Source organism: Homo sapiens, chromosome 5 (genome assembly GCF_000001405.40).
Source record: "Homo sapiens chromosome 5, GRCh38.p14 Primary Assembly".
Lineage (NCBI taxonomy): Eukaryota > Metazoa > Chordata > Mammalia > Primates > Hominidae > Homo > Homo sapiens.
In genome coordinates, this window is record NC_000005.10 from 148188197 (window position 1) to 148215748 (window position 27552).

Below are 27552 nucleotides of genomic sequence, written 5' to 3' on the forward strand. Positions count from 1 at the left end.
ACTAACAAATAAAAAAAGACATTAAAAGAATAAATAAGAAAAGCAACTACTGCAGATAAATGTCCCTCATGAACAGAGAGGAATGTCCTAAACAAAATTTTAGCAAATAGAATCCAACAATATATAACAAGGACAATTAATAATGAGCAATTGGGGCTCAGGCAGAAATGCAATGTTGATTGACATTTAAAATTCAACCAATATAACTCAAGGTATTGGCAAACTAGAAAAGAAAAACCATGTGATTACTAGTGAAAAACAAAAACATATTTGACTAAAATTCAACATCAATTTCTTGTTAAAGCAAACAACAACAGCAATAACTCCCTGCAAATTACATATGGAAGGGAATTTTATTAACGTGATAAAGGGCAGCTATAGAAAACTTGTGGCAAACATCATAATTATGAAAACTCAAATGTTTTCCCCCTTTAAACAAGTACAAGATGAAGATTTCCACTCTCACTACTTCTTTTCAATATTTTGCTGGAGGTTTTAGCCAGCACAATAAGACAAGAGAGAGAGAAAAAAAAAGAAAGAACAGAACAAAACTTTCAGATGGGAAAGTAAGAAATAATACTGCAATTTTCTTTATTTGAAGATGAAATGATGGTCTCTGTAGGAAATGTGATGCAATCCACAAAAAAGGATACTAGATCTAACAAGTGAGTTTAGCCAGGTTGGAAGATATAATAACAAAATACATTAGAGGATATGGCAACAAAATACAAAATACATTGTACTTCATTTTACAGTTTTATTTTTAATCGACAATGACAATATATGTATTTATAGGGTATATGATGTTTACATTATGGAATGATTAAATCACGCAAATTAACAAATCCATCATCTCACATACTTATTTTTTTGTTGTGAAACAAAAAATCTAATCTTTTAGAAATTCTGGAATATGCAATGCATTATAAGTTATTATAGTCACTGTTTTGTGCAATAGCTCACTAAAGCTTATTCCTCCTCTCTTACTGAAACTTTGATCATGTTCCCTTTCCCCACCTAACTGCCTCCACCAGCCTCTTGTAACCACCATTCTACTTTCGAAACAAATTGTATTTCTATAAACTAAGAGCAATCAGAAATTTAAATGAAAATAATTCTAACAGCATCAAAATATGAAATCTGTTGAGCTTGTAAATGTCCTATACATTAAAATTTTTAAAAAAGCATTGTGAGGTAAATTAAAGGAAACTTAAATAAATAGAAAGATATGCCTTTTTCATGGGTCAAAAAAATCATTTTTGCTAAATATCATTTCTCCTCCAAATTGATTTATATGTTCAATGCAATTCTTACTAAAATTCTAGCAATGTTTTATGCAGAAATTGACAAGATTATTCTAAAATTCATATGGAAATCTAAAAGTCCTAGCATAGTCAAAACAACTTTGAAATGGAGAACAGCATTAAAACTAACATTACCATTTTTCAGGACTAATTATAAAGCTATAGATATCAAGACAGTATATCATTGGAGTCAAGATAGAAAAATTGATCAAAAGATCAGAATAGAAGGTCCAAAAATAGATCTATATACATATAAAAATGATTTTATAAAAAGATCTAAAGACAATTCAGTGGAAAAAAATGCTTTTCAACAAATGCTGCAAAAACAATTGAATGTACATAGACAAAAACAATGAACATCAATTATAAAAACATTAATTTAAAATGGATCCCTGAACTAAAATCAAAACTATATAACTTTAAAAATTATGATTTTAGAGTAGGTAAAATTATTAGATATGACACGAAAAACATCATCCATTAAAGAATATTTTGTAAATCAGACTTCATCAAAATTGAAAACTTCTGTTTTTCAAAAAAACTCTAATCGAAAAAAACAAGTTACAGGGTGGAGAAGGTACTTTCAAAGCACATATTTGATAAAGAAGAATTTGTATAATGCTCTTTAAACTTAACCAAATATAAATGAATGTTATCATGTATAAAAGATTTGAAGTAGACATTTCATCAAAGAATATACATGGATGGAAATAATCCACCATAGCATGGTGGCTACAGTCCAGAAAGGTGCATACCAAGAGGGAGCATCCTGACAGCAGGGGTTCCCAGACAGCCAGGTGCATCCTCTGTGGCTTTGTATGATCTACCCTCCCTTTTGACACAGTCTAGTGACTAACACAATCCTAAGCCCACCCAGATTCAGGGGCATTAACTATAGACCTCACTTCTCAATGAAAGGAATATAATCAGTTTTGAGACAGTTTTAAAATTGCCACACTGTGATAAATTAAAAGTCAGATCACGTGCTGCCTAAGCCTGTCATTCTAGAGGAAAAGATTGGAAAGAGTCAGAGTGAAAGTGTATTTTGGCTTTTATTTTCTTATTTTACATGATAGGATAAGAAAAAGAACTTAGGCAGGTATTTGGAGACTTGTAATTAGAAATTAAAGGAAATGTAGAGAATACTAAGAAATGTGATGCCGTAAAGGAAATTTAAAAGCTATTTTCTTCTAGACACCCAAAAGTAAGAAATGCTTTTAGTAACAAAAACCATATGTATTTTCTGAGTTTAAAAAAGGTTTTCAGGTTTGTTGCCATGATCATATTAAGACTGTTGACTTCTCACCTAAGCTTATAGTTTCAGATGGCCACAAACTATCTGCCATTAAATTTAGAAACAGAGGTAAAAGAATAAAGAAAAAAAAAGGTAAGCTTCAGAATTGTGGCTAGAAAGAACTTAGGACACTTTTAAAATAGTTACTGGTGTATGGAAAAAAATTAAACAAACAGTTAAGGAACCCTCTAAATGTTGAGGGATTTATATTGTCAGATAAACAATAAGCCAAGATTAAAGAAACTATGACCTTCAATAAATTTTCAAGACCCAGAAAATGACCATAAACAAGTAGCCTTTGAAGGTAGTACAGCCCCAAAAAGTAAATGTGGTTTTCTAACTTTATCTCAGTTTGGTTTTTGGTAGAAATGCAAGAGCCTATCAGAGGGCACAGCCAGAAACGACCAAGAACAACTGACAAGGGCATTATTTTCAATAACAGAATCAGAGTCTTATCAAAAGCTATATGCCACTGCCAGCCCAGGGTGTCTCTACCCTTCCAAGTAAGCAATTTTTATCAGTGCTATGTGCCAATGACATCTATATGTATCTCATTACACTTTTTTTTAATGAGAGTTTAAATTATGATTATCCTGTTCATATTCCTCTACTGTATAAAAATCATGGGGGAGGGGTGAGGAGTTGATAAGTCTCCATAAAGAGCTACTTTTAGAAACCTTGAACTTTCTGGTGGTTGCAATGACTGGATAAGACTTTACTTGGTCTCCTTTGAGGGGCAGGGTATATCCCACATGTGGACAAAAGGGTGTGCACAGTTTTTTATTGGTCACGGGGCCTAATTGTCTACAAAACTCATACTACAAAACTATAATATAGAACATTTCTGGGAATTGGAAGTCTAATAAGGGAATCTATTTCTCTGTCCTTTTTGCATATGGTGTTACTATATGCCTAATTCTCAGCAACAATGAACAAAAATGTTGTATTCCACTTTTAAGCCACCTTTAAAGAATCACAATATTTTATTCTTCTCACCACTTTGATGCAAATGAGCAGGGCAAATTTGAGCCATGTATTGAAAATGGAAGAGCCAGAAATGAAAGGAGACTGGGTATCTCCATCACTGCCTGAAGGCAAACGGCCTGTGAATTAGGGACAATCATGGGGATGTTATGCAATTGAGAAACAGACTTCTATCCTCTACAAATTATTACACAAAGGGGTTATTTGTTGTATCAGCTGGGATTACCCTAAGTAAAACATTTGTAATAAAAGGCACAGTGCAAAATTTACCTGCATTAGGGTATGGAGATAAGGGAGTTATTGGGTCATGCTAGCTTTAGAAATTAAATCATGCAGGCATTGATGATTCCACTCAAAGTAGTTATTTTGCTTTTGTTACTTGTTCTAGTGGCTGTAAAGGATACTGGCATGTATCAAGTAAACGCTACCCTTACAGGCAATATTGTATTTTAAGTAATAAATAACTTAATAGTAGACATATAGTCATGATATGCCACATGCTATATGCCATGAAAGATAAAATGCTATACTTCATTTTAAGTCAAAAGAGATTGGCCGGGCGCGGTGGCTCACGCCTGTAATCCCAGCACTTTGGGAGGCTGAGGCCGGTGGATCACCTGAGGTCAGGAGTTTGAGAACAGCCTGGACAACATGGCGAAATCCCGTCTCTAATAAAAATACAAAAAAAAAAAAATTAGCCAGACATGGTGGTGCGTGCCTGTAGTCCCAGCTACTCGAGAGGCTAAAGCAAGAGAATCGCTTGAACCCAAGTGGTGGAGGTTGGCAGTGAGCCAAGATCGCGCCACTGCAGTCCAGCCTGAGCGACAGAGCGAGACTCTGTCTCTATTAAATAAAAAAAGAAAAAAGAAAAGAAAGAGATTTATTGATTCCTTACTGGATAACTGCAGAACACATTTGAGAATAGGCTTCATTTTAGATTAGTCAGGAAAATTGAGTTAGATTCTGAGAGGTAAAGGTAGCAAAATGTGCTTTAGCAGAGAAAATATTAATGGGCAAAAGTACTGAAAAGTACTAGTGGTTCAAGTCTCTGATAACTGGAAGGGAAACTGGGAGATGGAGTAAGAAGAGAAGTATGCCATATTGCAGAAGAACTTTGAATCACAAGCTAAAGCTCTTTAATTTTATTGAGCAAGCTTAAACAATGGGAAGGCACACCCAGTTATTTTTCCTTGGGGTGGCTTGGTCAGACCAGAGATGATAGGCTTGGGGGAGAATTTGTGTAGCAGACATAATGGGAATTTTTGAATTTAGAAATAAAAATATCACAGAGGATTTTTATTCCCAAAGTTGAGGGCAAACCTAATAACAATTTGTTTAAAGTAAATCACCTGATCTGGGCATTACTGCTTCCTTGTGATTTTAAAAGACTTTGGCAAACTTTCCCTCTCATATTTCAGTGTCTTAGCAAACATTTAAGAGGCTTCCTCTGATGCTTATAATTAAACTTCAAAGGGAAGGGGGAAAAGCCAGACATGTAGCTGAGATGAAACTATTTCTTTTTTTTTTCTCTCATTGTTACCAATATGCAATTCTACCTTGCTTATTTTCCATTACATTTTCCAGAGGTAGTATTGACATTTATTATGTTCTGATTTAAGATGGTAGGGAAAGTCAGTATGTTGGCAAGAATTTTTACTGCTGTATGATTTAGACCTAGCTCTCATTTCACTTTGGGCCACCGTACTTACTGAAAACAGCATGGTGTTGCATGACCTATTTTGTACTTACTGGCCTCTTTTCAGTCTCCTTTTCAACCATCTTTACCTGATATCCAGTGCTCTGGCCTGCTGAACTATTTGGTGTTAATGCAATCAACATTCTTCACACACTCATGTCTATTTTCATGGGTGGTAGTTTAATTTTCTTTCGGATATGTGTCCTCCTATTCTTCTTCAACAGCGAACATTACTATTCTATCTACAAGCAGTCTTATTTTGCCTCGGAACTCTTATTTAGCCTTCAAGATTCATACCTGTGCAACTGTATCTTTTAAATGGGGCTTTCTCTGATGACATTGTGTTAGCAAAAGTAATTGGTTCTTTATTTATGTATTCACAGCTCTTTGGGCACATTCTGTTTTCTAGGATGTTATCCCATTATGTTTGAATTACATTGTATGTATTTGATTTGCTAAACCGTGAGCTTCTTGAGTACAGGGATAACACAGTGTAAGTACTATATTCAAGCCATGTGCAAATTGGTATGAGAACATAGAAGAATTAAAAACAAACAAACCTTTAGAAACCATTGAAAAACTGCCACAATCAAAGAATAGCATAGAAAATTAGAAGGCAGTTCACATAAGATAGCAAAAAGACTAACAAATAAAAAATGGCTAGGCATAGTGGCTAAGGCCTATAATCCCAGCACTTTGGGAGGCCAAGGCTAGAGGATTGCTCGAGGCCAGAAGTTTGAGGCCAGCTTGGGCAACATAGCAAGACCCTGTCTCTATAAAAAGTAAAAGATCAAATAAAAATTTAAATAAATATTAAAACAGTTTGTATTTTTTCACTCAAGACATATTGTATAACCTCAGACTCAGCCCAGGAAAATCAGTAGTAGAATTTAAGAGAACAATGAAAGAAGCACATGTTCTGCTTTAAGATCATTATAATCTCATGCTATAGACTAAGCATGAATCAGTCAGTAAATAATGTAACAGAGCAACTTAGTATTCACCTCTGTGGAACAAATTTATAAAAGTTCTAAGAAGAGGGAGATAAATGACCACAGAATTATTAATAGAATTTAGCTTGATTCTTTGAACACTTTCCCCATTATCTAACCTGGACCTTTTAAAAAATTTGTTTTTAGGCCGGGCATGGTGGCTCATGCCTGTAATCCCAGCACTTTGGGAGGCCGAGGCGGGTGGATCACCTGAGGTCAGGAGTTCAAGACCAGCCTGGCCAACGTGATGAAACCCTGTCTCAACTAAAAATACAAAAAAATTAGCTGGACATGGTGGCGGGTGCCTGTAATCCCAGCTACTCTGGGAGGCTGACGCAGGAGAATTGCTTGAACCTGGGAAGCGGAGCTTGCAGTGAACTGAGATCACGCCATTGCATGCCAGCCTGGGCGACAAGAGCGAGACTCTGTCTCAAAAAAAAAAAAAAGTTTTTAATATGACAAAATGCACATAACTTAGTATTCACTATCTTAATCATTTTTAAGTGTCCAGTTCAACAGTTCAGTGGCATTAAGTGTGTTCGTTGTGTGTGCAGCTATCACTACCATCCATTTCCAGAACTATTATACTACGTCTTCCTCAACTGAAACTCTATACCTATTAAACAATAACCTGCATTACCCACTTTCCCCAGGCCCTGGAAACTACCATGATACTTTCTGTCTCCCTAATTTTGACCATTCTGAGTACTTCATAAAAGTGGAATAATACAAAATTTGTCTTATTGTGACTGGTTTATTTCGCCTAGCATACTGTCCTCAAGATTCATCCATGTTATAGAATATGTAAGAACTTCCTTCCTTTTTAGAGCTGAATAATATTGCATTTTTCTCTGCATAAATATGCGTGTGTGTATAGAAACATATATATAATAACAAGTATATATAAATGTGGTATATATACACATTATTTTCACATTTTGCTTATCCATTTATCTGTTGAAAGACACTTGAGTTGCTTCTACATTTTAGCTACTGTAAATAACGCTACTATGAATATATATGAACAAATATTTCTTTGAGACTCCTTTTCAAGTATTTTTGGTATATACACAGAAATCCCACCGAAACTCTTTTTTTTTTTTTTTTTGAGATGGTGTCTTCCTCTGTTGCCCAGGCTGGAGTGCAGTGGTGTGATCTTGGCTCATTGCAACCTCCACCTCCTGGACTCAAGGGAGTCTCCTGCCTCAGCCTTCTGAGTAGCTGAGATTACAGATGCTTGCCACCAAGCCTGGCTAATTTTTTTTTTTTTTTTGTATTTTTAGTAGAGATGGGCTTTCACCATGTTGGCCAGGCTGGTCTCGAACTCCTGACCTCAAGCAATCTGCCTGCCTCGAGCTCCCAAAGTATTGGGATTACAGGCATGAGCCACTGCACCCAGTTTTGGATTACCTTGTAACTCTCACTCTCTTTGATCTTTTAAATAATCTTATTTTTTAAATATTCATTTTTAAAATCCAAATTCGGATGCAATCAGTGAGGGTGTGATTCTATGTCAAGAGTCAAAAAGATCTTTATATATTAAAAATGATGATGAGTCAAAATGAACAAGATGAAACTTGATTAATGGCTTTCTATGTATGTCAAGAAAATGAACCACAAAAAGAGAGGAAAACAGAGCTCTGATTTTGTATTTGTGGCATGCTTTATATATCATCATTTAGGTTAGTTATAAACATACTGACTGGGACAAGATTCTATTCCTCTTGGTTATATTAATTAATCTATCGGCACTTTTTTGTTCAGTTGTTCAGTCAGGTGTAGTAGTCTACCCATGTATCTTTATCCGTTTACAAAGACAGCACGAGAGCTTATCTAATGCCTTGCTGATGTTCAAATCCGTCGTATCTGCAGATACCTTATACCATCAGTCTAGTTACACTGTCAACGAAGAAAACAAAGTCACTGTGACCTAGTTTTTTCTAAACCTAGGGATCATGGCATCCTTTTGTCATGTTCTTAAGGCTATGCTAAACTAATCTCCTCCTGAATAATTCTCTGAATTAACGTTAAGCTAAAACACTAAAACTGAAAAGCAAAGAGATTTGAGGAGACCTACCACAAAACACATGTACAAAATCCAACTTTAATAAATGAATTTAAGAAGAAATATCCAAAAACATAAAAAAGAAAGCAAATTAAGAAGAGATTTTGAATGAAATATAAACTACTTAATGCTTTATTAATATTTATAATATCTGTTAACTTTCAAAAGTTTTATATTGCAAACTATACTTTGTGATGTAGTTTGATTTCCATTGTAGCAAACGTAATTTAGAGAAATGTAGATTGCTTTGATCCTGGTGAAAAGGGATCTGAAAGGAGAATAAATTGTGGAGCAGAAGTGATGAATAACACAGTTTATATGAATTGGACAGAGAGAGAACTGTCACTCGATAATCTACAAATTGGAAAAACTAACTTCCAATTATGTACTTAGTGAAATGTACTCTCGTGCAAGAGCCAGTGAGTATTAGAAATTTTTCCTTTTATCTCCTTAGGAAACAGATAAGAATATAGAGATTCCCAAGTGAGACTGCAACTGTGTTAAAATATATCAGTAAGAAATTGAAGAAACGAAAGCAATGACAGAAAACTAGAGATGGGCAAATATCTACATGTTTAAAATAAGTAAGAAGATAAATTTTGGAAAATGTCAGAATAGTTACTAATAATCCCTGATAATCATATAGTGGTAATTATTTTTTAATCATATTCTTTGAATAAATATTTATGCAGTAATTGCTAAATATTAGATGAAAATTTGAAAAATTAAAGATTAATAAGGTACAGATTCTGCTCATAAAGAGCATGTAGACAAATAGAGGAGATACCATATAGGCATAATTTTATAATGTAGAACAGTTTCACAAGAAAAGTAAATACATATATTCTGAGAATTAAGAAGTATTATTAGTGTCAAAGGGCAGGATTCTCAAACTCAAATGCCTCCAAGGGCCAACAATAAGAGGGGCAAAAGAGTGAAATAAGAGCATATTTAAATGAGGCATGTACCACTAAACTCCAGCTGACGTTTGCCATGGCAATGAAGTGCCCAAATATTTTCAGAAAAATCTTCTGTTTTACTTCTATTTTTCTTTTTTCTTTCTTTTGTTTTTTTGAGATACAGTCTCACTCTGTTACCCAGGCTGGAGTATAGTGGCACAATCTCAGCTTATTGCAACCTCTGCCTCCCGGGTTCAAGCGATTTTTGTGTCTCAGCCTCCCAAGTAGCTGGGATTACAGGTGTGCACCACCATAGCCAGCTAATTCTTCTGTATTTTTAGTAAAGATGGATTTTTTTCATGTTGGCCAGGGTGGTCTCAAACTCCTGACCTCAAGTGATCCACCCGCCTCAGCCTCCCGAAGTACTAGGATGACAGGTGTGACCCACCGCACCTGGCTTATTTTTCTTAAATATTCAAATTAAAAAGCTGTAGATTATTTAGAAAAACATTTAAAACCACAGCATAGGCTAAATAAAATTTATTAACAAGCCTGAGTTTGTCTCTATGCTACCAGTTTAGAATGTCTGCCTTGGAGGATAAAGAAATGCTCTGTGAAGAGTAACATAATTTGGACTTTTTATTGTTTGATATATAGAATTGAGAGATATAATGATTAAAGAAAATAACATCCCAGGCAAAGGCAACACTGTAAGTTCAGGTAGGCAAATAGATATGTAATGAAAATAAATGAGAAATGAGGAAGAGCTTATTTTGGAAGAGGTATAGAGTCTATGATGGGGAAGAGCAGGACATATGATAATATGAGCATTTAGGAAAGAAGGTGAGGATAATTGGTAGTCCACATAAATTCATTACAAGCAAGTCATGCCAAACTTCCTTCATTGTATTTCACAAGGATGAGAAGCTTGATACCATGCCATACAATATATGAATATTGATTTCAGTAGAGTAACTTGGAAATAAGTTGGTGAAATATCTTTGAGCTTGCTTTGTTCAGCACTTTTGCAATGACATAGATGATATACTTATTAATGACATAGAAGACAATGACATAGAAGACATACTTATTAAATTTTCAGTTGATACAAAGGTGGAAAGGATTGCTAAATTGAAGACACTGTCAAGCCTGAGCAATCTTGAGGGACTGAATGCAAAGTTTAGTTAAAAACTAAAAGTGCTTATAATCAAAGAATGTCAGTGAAATAGGCATATGATGTATGAAAATAACCCAGAAACCTGCTCTTGTTAAGAATACTAAAATTCAGAAAGGTTAATTAACATCCCCCATATCATAGAGATTTGGCAGAAGTAGAATGGACACCCCACATCTATCTGGACTCAAAGTCTGTGTTCATTCTAATCTATCACAGAACCACAATGTGTATTTCTCAGTAGAACTTTAGGTCATTTTTAAATATTGAGTGGAAGATTGAAGTAAATGTTTTCTAAGATGACAATCAAAGAATCTATGTTTTGTTTTTTTCTGCCAAAACATTTAATAATAATTGAATCTAATCCATCAAGTAGAATAGATCAAATTTTATATAAGGTAAGATTTATAAGTGTCAAAAATAAAATGTTTATGTTTGTTATCTTCATTTCAGTGTAATATCAGAAAATATGTTATTAATTAAAGGTATTTCAATCTCAGTCATTCAACAAAGATTTTCTGAATGGCTATTAATTGCTAAGCATGGTTGAAAGTACAACAGATACCACAATGAAAAAAAAATCTTTCCCACTAAGCACTCACATTTTACAAATTTAGTGTGTCTCTCTGGTTCTCCCTTTTTATTCCCTTTTTTCCCCCCAAATATAACATTTGAATCCAGGACAAAGCTTACATAACTTCATGACATTTACATGACATTGGCACCTGGTGAGGTATTTCTTACCAGTTGGTCCCTAGATATTGACTTTTATCTCTCCAGGAATTTTTGCAGTGTAATAAAACTCCTATGGTCACTGTATCATAGAGGGCCTGGTTCTCCATTACCCAGCTCCCTGTTATCTGTTTCATGTGTTATCATACTCTTCTGAGTTATATGATTCCCCCCATCAAGCTATCAATTGTAATGTCTCTTAACTCAAAGTCCCTTGTTCTGAAATAAAAACCCTTCTTGTTCTTGAGCCCTCCCAGCACTTGGCTATCTTGGGGACTATGGATTTCAGCTGCTTTTTCTGATCTTCATTGCAACATGACAGACTCCTGTAAGACTGCTATAAAGTCCAAATACTTGGATATCTTCCTCGATACTGCCCACTCTGTTTTACCCATGATATGCTGACTAATGCTTTAGATGCCTCCAACAGCCAAGGAATTTGAACTAAACCAGGACGATGAAGTCTAAGCTCGAAAACCCCCTTTTTCTTCTCTTCCCGAACCCCTCCTCTTAGTCCTAGGAAACAGTTCTCCTCTTTTCCTAAGTGGTCCAATGGAAGTTCTAAGAAAAACAATCTTCACTCTGAATAAAGATTGGATAGTTGCAAATGAAAAATGCTTGACTTTAGTCTATTGTACAGCTAAGGATGTTAACAAAGATCACTTTATAATTCAATGGCAAGGACTGACTTCCTTGATTAATGCTTTCTTGGATTAAAGTGGTGGCTGTCCTTTTTTTATTTAACAAAAAAAGCCTCTATTTCATGCCCTATGCTAAATGGTGGAAGGGTTCAGGGGTTTGAGAGAAAATAGAGTACATAGCTGTCTGAGAAATGACATTTCAAAATAATACATTTTACAATATATATAAGCAATGGTGGGAAAAGGAAAATGTATATGAACAAGTAAAATGTGAAAACACACAGGCACAGATATATGTATCTCCTTGGATTCAGAGCTAAGCATTCTGAAAGCAATGAAGCTGCATTTCAATAAATGAAATAATATTATATATATAGTTGGCAGCAAAAAATGACAGAATTAAAATTTACCTTAAATTCTCTTGCATGTGTATTAAATGAAATGCAGATGATTTTATATGCTACCATGAATAGTAATTTTTTAATAAATGTATAATGTTTATATAATAAATTTTACATTGAAAATATATTCTTACAGGGTTTGTGTCTTTACATAAAAATGTATGCATAGCTATATTTTGGAAGACCACTGTACGTATGTTGGGACTGCATTCTAGTATGTCTATATAAGAGTCATTGCTTCTACTGCATTCTCCCACATCTCCCTTTCTTTTATTTTTTGTTTCTTTTTTGCTTTTGCCTGATTCAGTATATTGACATTTACTTATTCTTTAATGTTAAGATTTTTAAAACTTTTCCTATTTTTCTTCAGGGAATTAATTAAAACAAAGTTCAAACTACTGTCTTTTACTTGCTATGCAGCCAAACGACTATAATTTTATGTAGTCTGTGAATAATTGCCTTTAATTTATTAACTTCTAGTATTTCACCTTCTTATTTAAAGAGCCAATTAAGTGATTTCCCAGAGAATGTTTCTTACCTTTTCCTTTAGGTTGTATTAAAACAAAACCAAAAACTTTCATATGGCCTCAGAAACCTAAGAAAAAGGATAATTCAATCATTAGGGACCAGATTCTTTCTTAAACTATATATATTTATGATATAATATTTCCTTCCCTATGTCTATCCAGAGCCAATACTTAATATGTGCTTTCATGTTCCTAAGCGTTTTTGTGGTAGGTAGTGTAAATGTTGAGGATAGAGAATTGAAAACATTCTGAAAAAGAGGACAGAGTCATTCTAAATAAGAATAATTCTATTAAAAAATCACCTATTAAAAAAGAACTCTTGAAGATCAGAGGAAAGCAGGGAAGGAAAGACTGGAAGATAGGGAGATGGTAATATTTAGGTGAACAGTGACTGAGAGTGTAGAGGTGAATATGAGAAGCAAGGACCAAAAATGAAACTCTGGGGAGAGAGGAAGAAGTTTAAACAGGAAGTTTAGAAACATCACCGTGAATTTAATGATGGCATATGATCGACTACCACTGTTATGTTGATTTTTTTTATTACTATTTGTTTATGCTTTCAAACTTTTGTCACTTTTGGACATGATTATTATTAGACTAATTCTGTACATTCTAGTCACAGAAGGAGGGAAAAAAAGGTGGTCAAAGAAGGAAGAAACATAGGAAGTAGAATGGAAAGAGGGAGGAAGGTCACAGCAGTACCTAAAACCATGCTATGCAATGCTTTAGTTTTAGGAACTGATCTTTATATTATCTCATATGAATGAGAAAACATACTTAAAGATCACAAATGGGTAAATTGTACAACTGTTGTTTTTAAATTTCATGACTTAAGCAATTTCCCATATATTTTGTTTTTCTAGCTATTTTGACTCCTCTTCCCATAAAGGATTCAAGAAAATTTTAAATATAGTTTTTAAGGTTTTTCAGTAGTGTCTTTGAATACTTTTAACATCTGACCTACATCTTTCTGTAAAGGACTTTAAGATGATTTCCCTCATGATATTTTCAATAGCAGTTTATGATTTGAGGTAGACGTTCTTGTTATCACTACAACCATTCTTTTTTGTTGCTGTTTCCTGAAAGAAGGTTGTGGCATCGCACTCTTTGATCTATCTTGCAATTAAATTGGCCATGAAAGATAATGTGATTCATCTAACTTTTATATGAAAAGTAAAAGGAAATATATTGCTCATTTCAAAAATTCAATTCAGGCCAGGCACAGTGGTTCACGCCTATAATCCCAGCACTTTGGAAGGCCGAGGCAGGCGGATCATGAGGTCAGGAGTTTGAGACCAGCCTGGCCAACATGGTGAAACCCCGTCTCTACTAAGAATACAAAAATTAGCCAGGCATGGTGGCAGGCACCTGTAGTCCCAGCTACTCGGGAGGCTGAGGCAGGAGAATCGCTTGAACCCGGGAGGCAGAGACTGCAGTAAGCTAAGATTGCACCACTGCACTCCAGCCTGGGCAACAGAGAAAGACTCCATCTCAAAAAAAAAAAAAAAAAAGAAAGAAAAAAAAAAAAGAAAATTAAATTCAGTAACTTTAAAAAACAAATTTTTGTTACAAATTAAAGAAAATAATTGACTTCCCTATTTATTTTGACTCAAAACTGGACAACCACTGGCATTTGACTGCTATAATGATTTAAAAATTAATAAGCTGATTCCTGCTCAGAAAATGCTTCTTCTAATGCAGTTCTAGCTACAGTGTGGAATATCTGTCTCCTTTAGGTACACCTTGGATGATCTGGACTCTAAAAATCCAAGTTACACCCAAGATTCCATTATCCTGTGGTTACTCACTTGGACCACAGACATGTAGGACCTGTCTGAAAGAAATATAAGAATCAAGTGGAAGTCAACCAGTGAATCATCCCTATAATGTAGTGAAACTTTAGAAAGAAGAGCCGGGAGGATGTATTGGTTGTTAGGAAAATGTAGGCTACCAGTAGAAAATGACATTCTCTATTAATAAGATCTGAGGTGCGACACACATAATTGTCCCAATTTTTAAGATTGATGGGGAGCATGAAGCATTTTTTTAATGTGTTGGCAGGCCCCATTAAATGCATAAACTGCATAGGACTCATGTGGTCTGAATGTATTTTAGGGCTTTCTGGGAATTGTCTTGACAGAGAACCTCAGCTGGACAAAGCAGCCTTGATCTGAGTGAGCTAACTGACACAATGAAACTGTCAGGCATGTTTCTGCTCCTCTCTCTGGCTCTTTTCTGCTTTTTAACAGGTAAGTTTTTTCTTAAAATTAAGATCCCATATTTATACTGAACTGGATATGATGAGTAGTTGTTTATCATATTTTAAATCCTAATGATTTTGATGTAAAAGACCAATTCTGAGAGATTATCATAATGATGATAATGATTGTGATGACGACAATGGTTATGGTAATAATTATTAAAATTACTGTGATTTGTTGAGCATATACTATATTCTAGGCATGTACGAAGGGATTTTATGTATTGTCTCTGAGACTCATAATAAGGTATTTCTATCTCTGTTCTTCATATAAGAAACTGTGGAACAGAGAAATTGAGAAAATCAGCAAAAGACTTGCAACTAGTAGTTAGAATCTGGAATTTGAATCAGATTCTCTTGCCATCACATTTAATGTTTGTTCCATAAAACTAGATTGGAGGATGGATAATTGCATTAAATATTGGTTTTGCTTTCCAGAACAAAGAAATATTTTCCTCCCCTTAGTTATTATTACAAAGACATTCAAATAATTAAATTAAGACAATGGGGAAATTGGAAACTCAATGAGAAAAATCTTTGAAAATATGTAATTGAAACTTAGAATGCAGAAACATATGTTTCTGGTGAGCTAAATAATCTTAGAGAAGGAGAATATCTTTGGACACTTTAGTGAGGTTCAAAGCACAATCATACTTCAAGGTTATGTTTTTTAAGACAGAACCATCGGAATGAGCAGGTCCATCATAAGCTATTTTCTTCCTTATTATTCTACTCTTTCACGTTGTAGGGCACAAAGCAAATGCTAGTTTTTAGACCTAAGACCTAGTTTCATCTCTTCTATTAATGGCCTGTGTCACTTAAAGAAATAACATAATTTTCTGAGATATTTTGTCATTTGTAAAATAATAGAAATAAAACTAAGCCCTGGGACCTTCCATATCTTATGTATCATTTTGTGTGACAGTAGCAGATGAATTTTACTACTATGCAAGATTTTAAATGGATGTACAAGTAAAAAAAAAATCAATGAGATTTAGCTGATAGAGAAGCCAGTGTTCACTGTAGCTGGTCATAATTACAAAAACAAATACACTTAGAAATACAAAAAAAATGGGTAAAGGATTCCTGTGATATTATGGAGTAAGCTTGACTACTAAAGCCAAATAACCTTAATGGGTAGTTCAATCAGTTGCTGAGATGGCAGAAAAATATATATCTGACTATGTAAAGTTTAGCTGCAAAGATAGTCTCAGAAATCAATTGTTATTTCCTTTTCTTCTCTTTACAAAGGTGAATTGATCTTTAACAGGATCTGGTTGACTAATACAGTTTACCAAAGCATGGATGCTTCACAGACATACTAGATAGTATTTGGGAGGCCATAATGCCTAAGGGCCTTAATGCTGAAACAGAGTAAAGTGAATTTTAGCCCTGGCACTTTCATTTTATAGCTTTGTGAACTCTCTGATGTTTATTTCACTTATATATAAAATAAACATATAAAGGACTATCTCTGTGTGGAGAATTAAATGAGAAAAAGGCATGTACAATGCTTAACATAGTGGATGGGGTATAGTGCATGTTTAACAAATGTCTATTAACATTATTGCCATAATAAAGTTTAATAAAAAGAGTACTAAATTGGACTCCGTCATTGTGAATATTAATCCTGTTTTTGCCTTGCCAATTCCTACGTATGAGACATTAGGCAAATCTCTCCTCTTTTGATGACAGATTTGTACAGTGGAGACTTACTGAAAATTCTAATAATAAAATATCCCTGGCTATAAAAACCACTTAGAGTCTTTAAAAAATATGGACTGTCCAGGAACTCTCTGGTTTTATATAATAGAATTTTTAAGTGATTGCCCTAAGAATTTGTCATTTTAATAATCACCCATATTGCTAGTTATAAATCAATAAGGCTGGTAATCACTGCTGAAAAAATGAACAGTAACCTTCTTTCAAATTAAAAAACAACAGCTTGTTTTCTCCTTATCTTTATTATTAGAGATTGTGCTTTAAGGAATTTCCGGTTGTTATCCCATAAGTGTTGGCCATCATTGGAGATGGATTCCGCTAACCCACACTCTCTCTCATTGCAGTGCTCTTGGGCTTATGTGTCAGAGGGATTGGGAAAGGAGTCCCATAGGAATGGCCACACATCAAAACTCAGCAGCCCATTCCAAGACTGGATTGAGGGATTTTATTATTTAAGTATTTTAAACCACTGAACTAATTAGTCACACAAACTAAAATTACACATACAATATTAAGAGAAAGGAAAAGGGAGAGAAACAAGACTATATATATGGGATCTTTTCCCTTTTTAGGAATTTAGAGAGATGTAAAAGGAGAAATAAGTCACAAGAATGAATGAGTTGTTCCTTACCAGTTTATATTTGGGCCAAGTTTTAAAAGTTGAGCAATTTCAAACTCAAAGAACAAACTACAAGCTTAATCTCTTTCCCAACTGCCTGTGGCAAAGGCTTTTGGGAGGAACTGCATGAAATGAACCTTGAAATGTCAAAGGTAGAGGATACTTTCCAATTCAACTTCTCCACAGTGAGACCAGCGATGATAAGGTCATTTTCGTAGTAAATTAGTGACTGGGCTAGGACTGTAACATGAATTTCCAGATCCTTAATCCATTTTTTTTCTACCCCACCCTAACCTCCAACAATTGTTACCTCCTCATGGTTCATGTCTTTATATGACCTTCTTAAGAAGTGAGCAGATTAAAAAAAAAAAGAAGAAGAAGAAGAAAACAAAAACAAACAAAAAAAATACGATGACTTTTTAAGATAGCCAAGTACCAGGAGTAGATATTAGGAATTTCCTAATGTTGAAAATTTCACTTTTTGTACATCAATGAATTACAGTGTTTGAATGTTGTGCTTTTCTTTCAGGTGTCTTCAGTCAGGGAGGACAGGTCAGTGCCTATTTTTATCTCTGCTTTCTGCCTGGGTGGTGCTTGGCTTGATCTTCACTGGCCAAAAAGAAATTTGTCTATGGTTAACAGAGCAAAAACAATGAGCAGGCAAACCTTATGCAGACATCAGCAGAAATTATTATTCTTTAACTAAACTCTTGTCAGTTTAAAAGAACCTAACCACACATTCTCATAATTTTTTAGGGAAGAATAAATATAAATAAAAAATAGGATGTATCTGGGATAAAATTCATGCTCTATCATTGATTTCACTGTGTGATCTTGGGGAAGTTACTCAACTTCTCTGAGCTGCAAGTTCCACAACTATAGAAAAGGGATAATATTCACTTCATAGAATTGCAATTATATTTAAATTATTTAAACAATGTGAAAGTATTTGGCAAGCCATTAAAGGCTATATATGTATTAGTTATCGATTAAAAATTAACATCCTCTGAAGAAGTTAGGATATAAGTTATTATTTCTTTTTCAGAAATAAGAACTGAAAGTAGATAAGAAACTAGTTTACTGCTCTGTAATGAGGATATACAGACTGATTCACTCAAATTTTAATAATATTTGGTTTAAAAACTGGAATGAGCACAAGTTATCTTCATCATTGGATTTTTTTTTCCTCCAAATTAGTTCACCAATGTCTTTCTATCTTTTTCATTTTAACTGTCAAAGGACAACACAAGTACTATTTGTTCTGCCAATCCTGTTCCTTTGTCCATATTAAGCATTTCTACTTGGTCTTGGCACTAGTTCTTGTTTAGCCTTGGCGTGCCTTGTTATACCTTTGACATGAAAATTTCTAGACACTACTGCTAACTAATTGGAGTTGGCAAAGCCATTGGAAATATTTTCCAACCCTGATATACCCACTGCATTATATAAGAATGTTAGTTTTTTAAATTTTAGCATCTCAGAAATTAGGATGCATCTTACAAATGATGATGCATTTGTGTGTGTGTGTGTGTGTGTGTACATGCATGTGCACTTTAGGTGTATGTCTAACACATGCACACATGTGTGTTGGCATTGTCATATGAAACTGTATACCTTCAAGTTGTATTATTATGTTTAAATAAGCATGATAGTATGGTCTATACTAAACATGAAAACAAACACACAAGGAAAGGACATAACACCCAGCCAACACATTTCGTATCTCATTAGGTAGTAAAATATAGTAAAACCATTACTCATAGAATTAAGAAATATGGAATTTAATCCTAGTTTTCTCATTAACACACACGTTACTTCCCTTCTTTGAACGTTGATTTCTCAGATTTTTTTTCTTACAAACAGAGGTTTTATTGCATTTGGTCCACAGACATATTTCACATTATCTCATGGAGCAGGGCCCCTGGGTGGGGGTCCCTGCGTAGTACTTGGCGGGGTGTGTGGCTGGGAGAGATGGCAAAGTATAGCTGCTCAGGCCCAAAAAGGGAGAAGGAAGGCTGGGGTCTCCTTAAAACCTACTGAAGGGCCGGGCACGGTGCCTCATGCCTGTAATCCCAGCACTTGGGGAGGCCGAGGTGGGCAGATCACCTGAGGCCAGGAGTTAGAGACCAGCCTGGCTAACATGGTGAAACCCCATCTCTACTAAAAATATAAAAATTAGCCAGGCGTGGTGGAGTACCTGCAGTCCCAGCTACTTGGGAGGCTGAGGCAGGAGAATCCCCTGAGCCCAGGAGGTGGAGGTGCAGTGAGCCAAGATTGTGCCACTGCAGAGTGTTTTCTAAAGTTCATTTAAATTTTACTACTTACTGATTTTATGCTTTAGATGGGCCAAAGTCTTATAGTTTGCTTGCTTCATGATTACCTGGATTGCTTACTAAATATACAGATCCCCAGGCATCATGCAAGACATTGAATAATAATCAGAAAGGTAGGGAGTTTGAGTCTGCATTTTAAATAATTATCCAGATGACATTTATACATAAGAAAACTGAGCATTTTTCCCTAGGTAAGAGGAGGCAAACTGTATTGGGAAGCATTGGCTCTGGAGTCAGATAATATAGATGAGTGGAGTCCTCATTCATACTTACTTGCTGTATGACTTGAAAAATGTGGTTTCCCTTCTCATTGCCTTTGTTTCCACATTACTAAGATGAAGATTTGAATTCAATGATCTCTGAAGCCCCTTCCTGCCCTAACTGTCTGAATTGTTATCAACCAAGCCTGTCCTGCCAAGGCTGCTGTCTCTTCTCCACTCAAATATAAATGACAGGGAAGCTCCTATACTTTTAAATGGTACTGAGGCTGCCATTTCTCTTTTGCATGCCTGGAGGGAGGGTGGAAGTTTCAATGCCAGCAGAAGACATTGAAACTATCATTAGGAGCATGCTTGCTCAAGTCTGATCCAGCCAGGACAAAAGGAAGTAAGATTTCCTCCAACACTGAAGTAATTCTTCTCATGCCAAGAATTCTCTACATGATGAGACAACTGATGGGAAATTATAGTTAGCAGTCTGAATTATGGACTTCAAAAAATATCACATTAATTTGAAAAGATTATTCAAGCTAAACAAAATCATGTTGCCAGACTTTTGGAAATCATATTCCAGTAAAATTTTCCCTGTAAATGTAAATGACTAATATGCTGACAACTCTTTAATTTGCCAAGGAGATAGATTAAATGGCACAATAATAACAATAAGAGTAAAATAAAACTACTATTTGTCATCACTAGCGTTTCATTAAGTAATTTGTTGTATAGCGCCAAAATGTTTAAAAGACACATTTTCAGAATAAAGATAGTCCTTTGACTGAATACATTTTGCTTTTTGAATCACTTACTGCATTGCCTTTAATATTTTTATATTTTCCTATCAGGCTCTGTATTTGGGAACCTTATCCTTAAAGAGCTGTTTAGATGAATAGTTCGAAATGAAATAACCAGAACAAGCCTTTTAAAAGCAATGATTGGCAACCATTTTCTGTTACAATACTTTTTGAAATACTTAAGTTTATTTTTGCTTGTATTTTAAGATAAGAATTGGTGAATTTTCATACAATTGGTAAAACAATGCTCCATGACTCTAATGAGTTTGAAGTTTTTCATTTTTCCTAATTAGCTTGATTTTGCTTAAAATTAATATACTGACAAAATGTCTAAATAAAATTTGGAAATGTTATCTAGTACCTATAACTTAATTACAAATTGAAAAACTAAAGCCTCAGAAACGAGGTCTAGCTGACTTACATCTACCAACAGCAGTAAAGCTGCAAAGTCAACACTTCAAGACTCCTGACTCCATCTGGAGTGAGCTTTCCGTGGCTGCATACTGTTTTTAATCAGCAATAGAGGGCCATTGTGTAGTGAATGTGAAAGAGCTTTGAGCAGTACAATTTCTTAAGCAAATATAAGGTAGTGATTACTATTCTCACTTAAGCAAATAATATGATAAGTATATTAGTTTCAAATAAGATAACTTGTGTCCACATGCAGGAAAGATTTGAAATTAGGAGGAAAATGAGGAAGAGACCATGTTAAAATGTCTCACACAGTGAGTTTAGAGGCTATCTAAAATTAAAGGAGGAAGTATTTGTGCAAAAGTAGCTATTTCTCTCACCCAGCCGAAATTAAGGAGATAAAAACTTATTTTATTAGTCCAGACAAGAAATGTTGAGAACTGGTATAGGCAGTAAATTTGGAACTGGCAAAGAAAATGAGGTAAAGCAATGCAGAAGGTAACACAAGGGAAAATAAATGGCAATGTTTCCATCTGAGGGAGGGTTGGAGAATCTAAAAAATGCTGCTATCATGAAAAATGGAAAAAATGGAAAAATGGAAAAAACAGAATACAAAACTAGTTTGAAAGAAAAGAGTTGTACTTTGCACATAAATGTCTTAAGTATGAATGAAATTGAGTAAAAGGTTTCATATATATGTATACATACATACGTACGTATGTATGTATACATATACACGTATGTATACATGTATGTACGCATGTACGCATGCACAAACGTATGTATGCATATATGTATGTATATGTATGTATGCATATATGTATGCATGTTTACATGTATGTATGCACATATGTATGTATGTTTACATTTATTTCTGCATACATATGTATGTATTTCTGCATGCATATGTATTTCTGCATGCATATGTATTTCTGCATGCATATGTATTTCTGCATGCATATGTATTTCTGCATGCATACGTATGTATTTCTGCATACATATATATGTATGTGTTTCTGCATACATATATATGTATGTTTCTGCATACATATATATGTATGTGTTTCTGCATACATATATATGTGTTTCTGCATACATATATATGTATGTGTTTCTGCATACATATATATGTATGTGTTTCTGCATACATATATATGTATGTGTTTCTGCATACATATATATGTATGTGTTTCTGCATACATATATATGTATGTGTTTCTGCATACATATATATGTATGTATTTGACCATTGAGAGTTAGAGTTTGAGATATTTATAAAAAATCTATGAAAAATATTCTGGGATTTTTCAGTACCATATGGGAAATTATATGTCATTAGGAAGAGAAAACCAAGTATATTAAACTATCTAGGAAATGACCATAATTAATATTCAGGAGTAAAAAAGAAAAGACAGCAAGAGAGAGAAGAAACAGACGACCAGAGAACCAACATATAATGAAAGTCTGGAAAGAGTTTCAAAAAGGTTGGAGTGATCAAGAGTAGCATATGTCATGAGGAAATCATAAAAGTTTTAAAACAACCAATAGATGTATTCTGTATTTTTGAAAGCAGTTTCAGTAGAGTAGAAAGGGGAGGGAAATAAGGGTGAGGGGAAGCCAAGCTTGGTAGCAATTAGGACAACAGATATGGTAAAGAATGGAAATTATTTAACCACATAGGTAGTGTTTGTCAGTAATAGACAGAAGAGATGCCATTATATATCCCAAATCTATGTTTGTGTGATTGCAAATTTTCATTGGTTTTATCTGTAAACCTAAAACACTAGACTTAAATATGAATAATCCTGAGTCTTTAGTTGACTTAATGACCATATAAGCTCAAATTTCCAGAAGCAATTTGCACCTTCTCCAACCCCTGGGGCCCAGAGAGAGTGGTCCTCTCCTGCCCAGCCACCATATTAAAATGTCTCATAGAGTGAGTTTAGAAGGCTCTCTAAAATTAAAGGAGGAAGTATTTGGGTAAAAGTTGCTATTTCTCTTATCCAGCTGAAGTTAAGGACATAACAGCTTTATTTAAAACACATCACTGAAAGTATTCATTGATAAATCTTGAACCATCAAAGCTAGAAGAGTCCCAGGATACCATTTAATCTCATGGTGTTGATGATTTTCTATGAGTTACAGAGATCTTTTAGAGCTACTGTAGTTAGCATAGACCTGTAATAAGGTTACTTTCTACACTCCTAACCCAGAACTATTTCAAATATTCTATATTAGTTCTCTACAACTTTTATATGACCACATTTGTTCCTTATAAAAACCTTGGGAATCTGAAAATTAGGCATGACATGTGTTCCTTGTTGTTTCTTGGTTAAGAAAATTGAGGTGCAGGCATCGAGTCCGTTGTTCAAGATAACACAGACAGTCAATGGCGGAACAGGTTCTAAAACACGATTCTCAGCTTACTTCAGAGATCATTGAAGGCCACTAAAATTTAAGAGTATGATATTTATCTGTTCTATGGAAGTTTGTTCATATGCCACTTGATTGATTTGCTTTCATTTATTGAAATGCTTTGCTCTTCCTAGTCTTCTTCCACGGGGCAGAGGAAGAAAATACTTGGGTGTGGGTTCAGTTGTGCTAGGCTCAACTGAGATAATCTGTGTGAAAGTAGCTGGAATATTTTGAAGCAATTGATAAACACAAGACAGTATCATTTTAGACAGAGAGAAAGCAAGTTTCCTCTCTCCATATGTAAGTGTCACTTCATTCCACACAGATATATTTGGAGGGGTTCAGCTTAACCTATTGCTTGTCATTACTCTTGAAATAATGGCTCAAATGTCATTTACACACCAAATATGGACTTGACATTGTGTTGAAAACAATCTTAAAACTCCAGACTACTTTTGAAAAACAGCTATAGTTGAAAGGATATGTTAGTGGCAAAGGTGCTACCATTCCTACTATGGAGCCCATAATAATAATTATTAATCAGTCATAACATATGTTCTCAACAATAGTGCAACCTTAGAATCATTTTAAACACAGCAACTTAGGCAGCCATTACTAAATGATTGTAGTAAGCACAAAAGTTCAAATTCCACAGACTCTGAAACAGGGTAAGGTAATAAAAAGACATAGATGCACCTATAATCTTAGTGACTTGGAAGGCTGAGGTGGGAAGATGTCTTGAGGCCAAGAGTTTGAGACTAGCTAGGGCAACAGAGGAAGACTCTATCTCTAAAATACATATTTTTTATATATATATATATATAAAGTATATATTTTATATATATAAAGTATATATTTTATATAAGTATATATTTATATATTTATATAATATATATTATATATTATATAAATATATTTTATATAATATATAATATATATTTATATTATATATTATATATTATATATAATATAAATATATATATTTATATATTTATATAATATATATTTTATATAAACTATATATTTATACAATATATAGTTTATATATTTTATATAAACTATATATTTATACATTTTATATAAAGTATATATTGTATATATTTATATATTATATTATATATTTTATATATATAGCAACATAGCAAGACTATCTCTAAAGTATATATATTTAGTATATAAATATATATTTATAATATACATAAGTAGATATATTTAGTATCTATATGCTTTAGAGATAAGAGTATATATGTACTTTAGAGATACACTTTATATATACATATCCTATATAGATTAGTTTATGTGTATATAAGTGATATATTTAGTATCTATATACTTTAGAGATAGAGTATATATATACTTGATATACTTTATATATACATATCCTATATATATTAGTTTATGTGTATATACATAAACACATTAGAATTTTGTTTTCAAGAGCTTATGGATGGATATTGCATCCACAGGGAAAAGTAACAAGCATCAGGTGATGTCCAGTGCCCCTTGTAAGGTTCATCCATGTTTTTTGTTTGTTTGTTTTTGTTTTTGTTTTTGTTTGACGGCGTCTCAGTCTGTCGCCCAGGCTGGAGTGCGGTGGCGCGATCTGGGCTCACTGCAAGCTCCGTCTCCCAGGTTCATGCCATTCTCCTGCCTCAGCCTCCCGAGGTGCCCGCCACCACACCCGGCTAATTTTTTTTTGTATTTTTAGTAGAGACGGCATTTCATCGTGTTAGCCAGGATGGTCTCCATCTCCTGACCTCGTGATCCGCCCGCCTCGGCCTCCCAAACTGCTGGGATTACAGGCTTGAGCCACCGCGCCCAGCCCATCCATGTTTTGATAGCAATACAGGAGTACTGTTAGAGCACATTAATATGATGTTTAAAAAGTCGTTTCATGACCGAAAACCACTCTCAATTGGAATAGTTTAATGTTGGAGCAAAAAGTTTTACCCATATAGCATTTGACTACATCATTAATTTACTCCTGAATACAATCTGTATTCCTTGTAATGAGTTTCCTGTGACTCAAAGAAAATGTCTCAAGTATATTTAATGTATTCTACTTAAGTAGGTAAGTAGAATACATCAGATAAGGAGAGCTATTTTATATTTCAGAATGCTTTATGTCACAACTATTTATATATGGTTTTTAAAGTTTGCTGTCTAAAGCTTCTGTTCTGAAGGATGGTCTCTTAGAATGCACTGATGTCAATGTCACTCTGCTTACTTTGGTAGGTTGACTGTGGTGAGTTCCAGGACCCCAAGGTCTACTGCACTCGGGAATCTAACCCACACTGTGGCTCTGATGGCCAGACATATGGCAATAAATGTGCCTTCTGTAAGGCCATAGTGTAAGTATTATATTCATCAAAGCTGACCCTTGCAAACACAAACTTCCATAATAAGACTAAGACACTTTTTCGAGGTATTATAGAAAACACCCATACCTCCCCATAGAGACTGAAGAAACAAGCTTCAGGCAATTTGATTGAAAACAGATGGGTCAAAAGCAACAAAAACATTACATACTAAATTATTTGAAGACATAATCTTAATCGCTTTGCTTTGTTATTATTAATTTTTATTGTCTTAGACAAGTTTTCAAAAACATTCACACATCTTATACATTATAACTTATTATATTTAATAATTTTGATATGTTTTAATGTTTTCATTTGTTTCTAATTAGAATTTGCAATATCAATACATAATGAACATATGTCTACACTTATATATAACACATCTGACTAATTAATACCAAACTTTTCTCAGGAGAAAGTCAGTGGTGTAATATGAGATTTGAATTAATAGATGCATATTACTGAGAGGGCTTGAATGTGTCACCTGCTCTAAAATGTCAAACGCCTGAATATCTGTTTCAACTTCTTACATCTTCTGTCAGAAAAAAACTATAGTCCCTTTGTCATTATTTCTCCTGTGACCTCTACCTTTTTCAATGGTATACATATTTACTCTTGGAGAATGAGCAATTGGTACCAAAAAGTCTAAGACTTATGATAACTCTGAAATTTGTTTAAGATTCATACTTTCCACAGCTAGGCCAGATGTAACCTCTGAGTGCATTTAATTAACATCTTCTGAATCATATAAATGGAATTTATAGAATCAAATAATTAAATGGACCATGCCATTGTTAAATATGTTTAGAACTTCTATGGTGAGTACTTACGATATTGCACTGAGTATATATTTGTCTTTCTTTTTTGTAGGAAAAGTGGTGGAAAGATTAGCCTAAAGCATCCTGGAAAATGCTGAGTTAAAGCCAATGTTTCTTGGTGACTTGCCAGCTTTTGCAGCCTTCTTTTCTCACTTCTGCTTATACTTTTGCTGGTGGATTCCTTTAATTCATAAAGACATACCTACTCTGCCTGGGTCTTGAGGAGTTCAATGTATGTCTATTTCTCTTGATTCACTTGTCAATAAAGTACATTCTGCAAAAGCATTGACTGTGTTCTTACTTTGAGATCAAGAAAATATATACATACAACAGAGAATAATTGAACTGGGATAAACTTGGATCAAGAAACCTATTTTCCTGATCTAAGTTAACCATCCAGTCATTGTGAGATCATAGGAAAATCCCTTCCTTTCTCTTATTCTTAGAATCTCCATGTTTATAATGAAGGATTTTGACAACATGACCATATGCTATGCTTACAGTTACTTAAAATATCTAGCATTAATTAGATCACATAATATTCATTCTTCCCAATTTCATAAAAAGCATGTTATATAAAAGAAAAATATTTGTTCTCTACAGGCCATTTTTTTAGGCATCTGGAATGGAAAATTTGGACTATATAATTTCTAAAGACATACAGTGTATGGTTTTCTGTAGTAGCAGTATCATAAGGTATACCAGATATAATGTAACAAAATATACAATAAATGGTGAATATTCAATAAAATCAGTCACTTGGCAAATAAAACAGCTGTAGTTAAAAGAAGACTGAAGGTTAAAGCACAGCTCTGTTGATAACAAGCTCAATCTCCATGTAGCTGCCTCAACCCTATGAAAATCCACAGTTTGATACATATATATCTTATTCTGAA

At 34.2% G+C, this 27552-nt stretch overlaps 1 protein-coding gene across 2 annotated transcripts; it reads left to right on the forward strand.

The window, feature by feature from the left end:
• The first annotated feature begins 14581 nt into the window (after window positions 1–14581).
• Window positions 14582–26941, forward strand: SPINK6 (serine peptidase inhibitor Kazal type 6). Of its 2 annotated transcripts, NM_001195290.2 has the most exons (5): window positions 14582–14697; window positions 14825–14958; window positions 17840–17862; window positions 25714–25829; window positions 26709–26941. In NM_001195290.2, exons 2-5 carry the CDS (start codon window positions 14901–14903, stop codon window positions 26752–26754), a joined length of 243 nt encoding a protein of 80 aa, NP_001182219.1. In that variant the 5' UTR covers window positions 14582–14697; window positions 14825–14900; the 3' UTR covers window positions 26755–26941. The 2 variants fall into 2 exon arrangements, with proteins under 2 accessions (NP_001182219.1, NP_995313.2); NM_205841.4 differs by lacking the exon at window positions 14582–14697 and having other exon boundaries at window positions 14846–14958.
• Window positions 26942–27552: the final 611 nt, after the last annotated feature.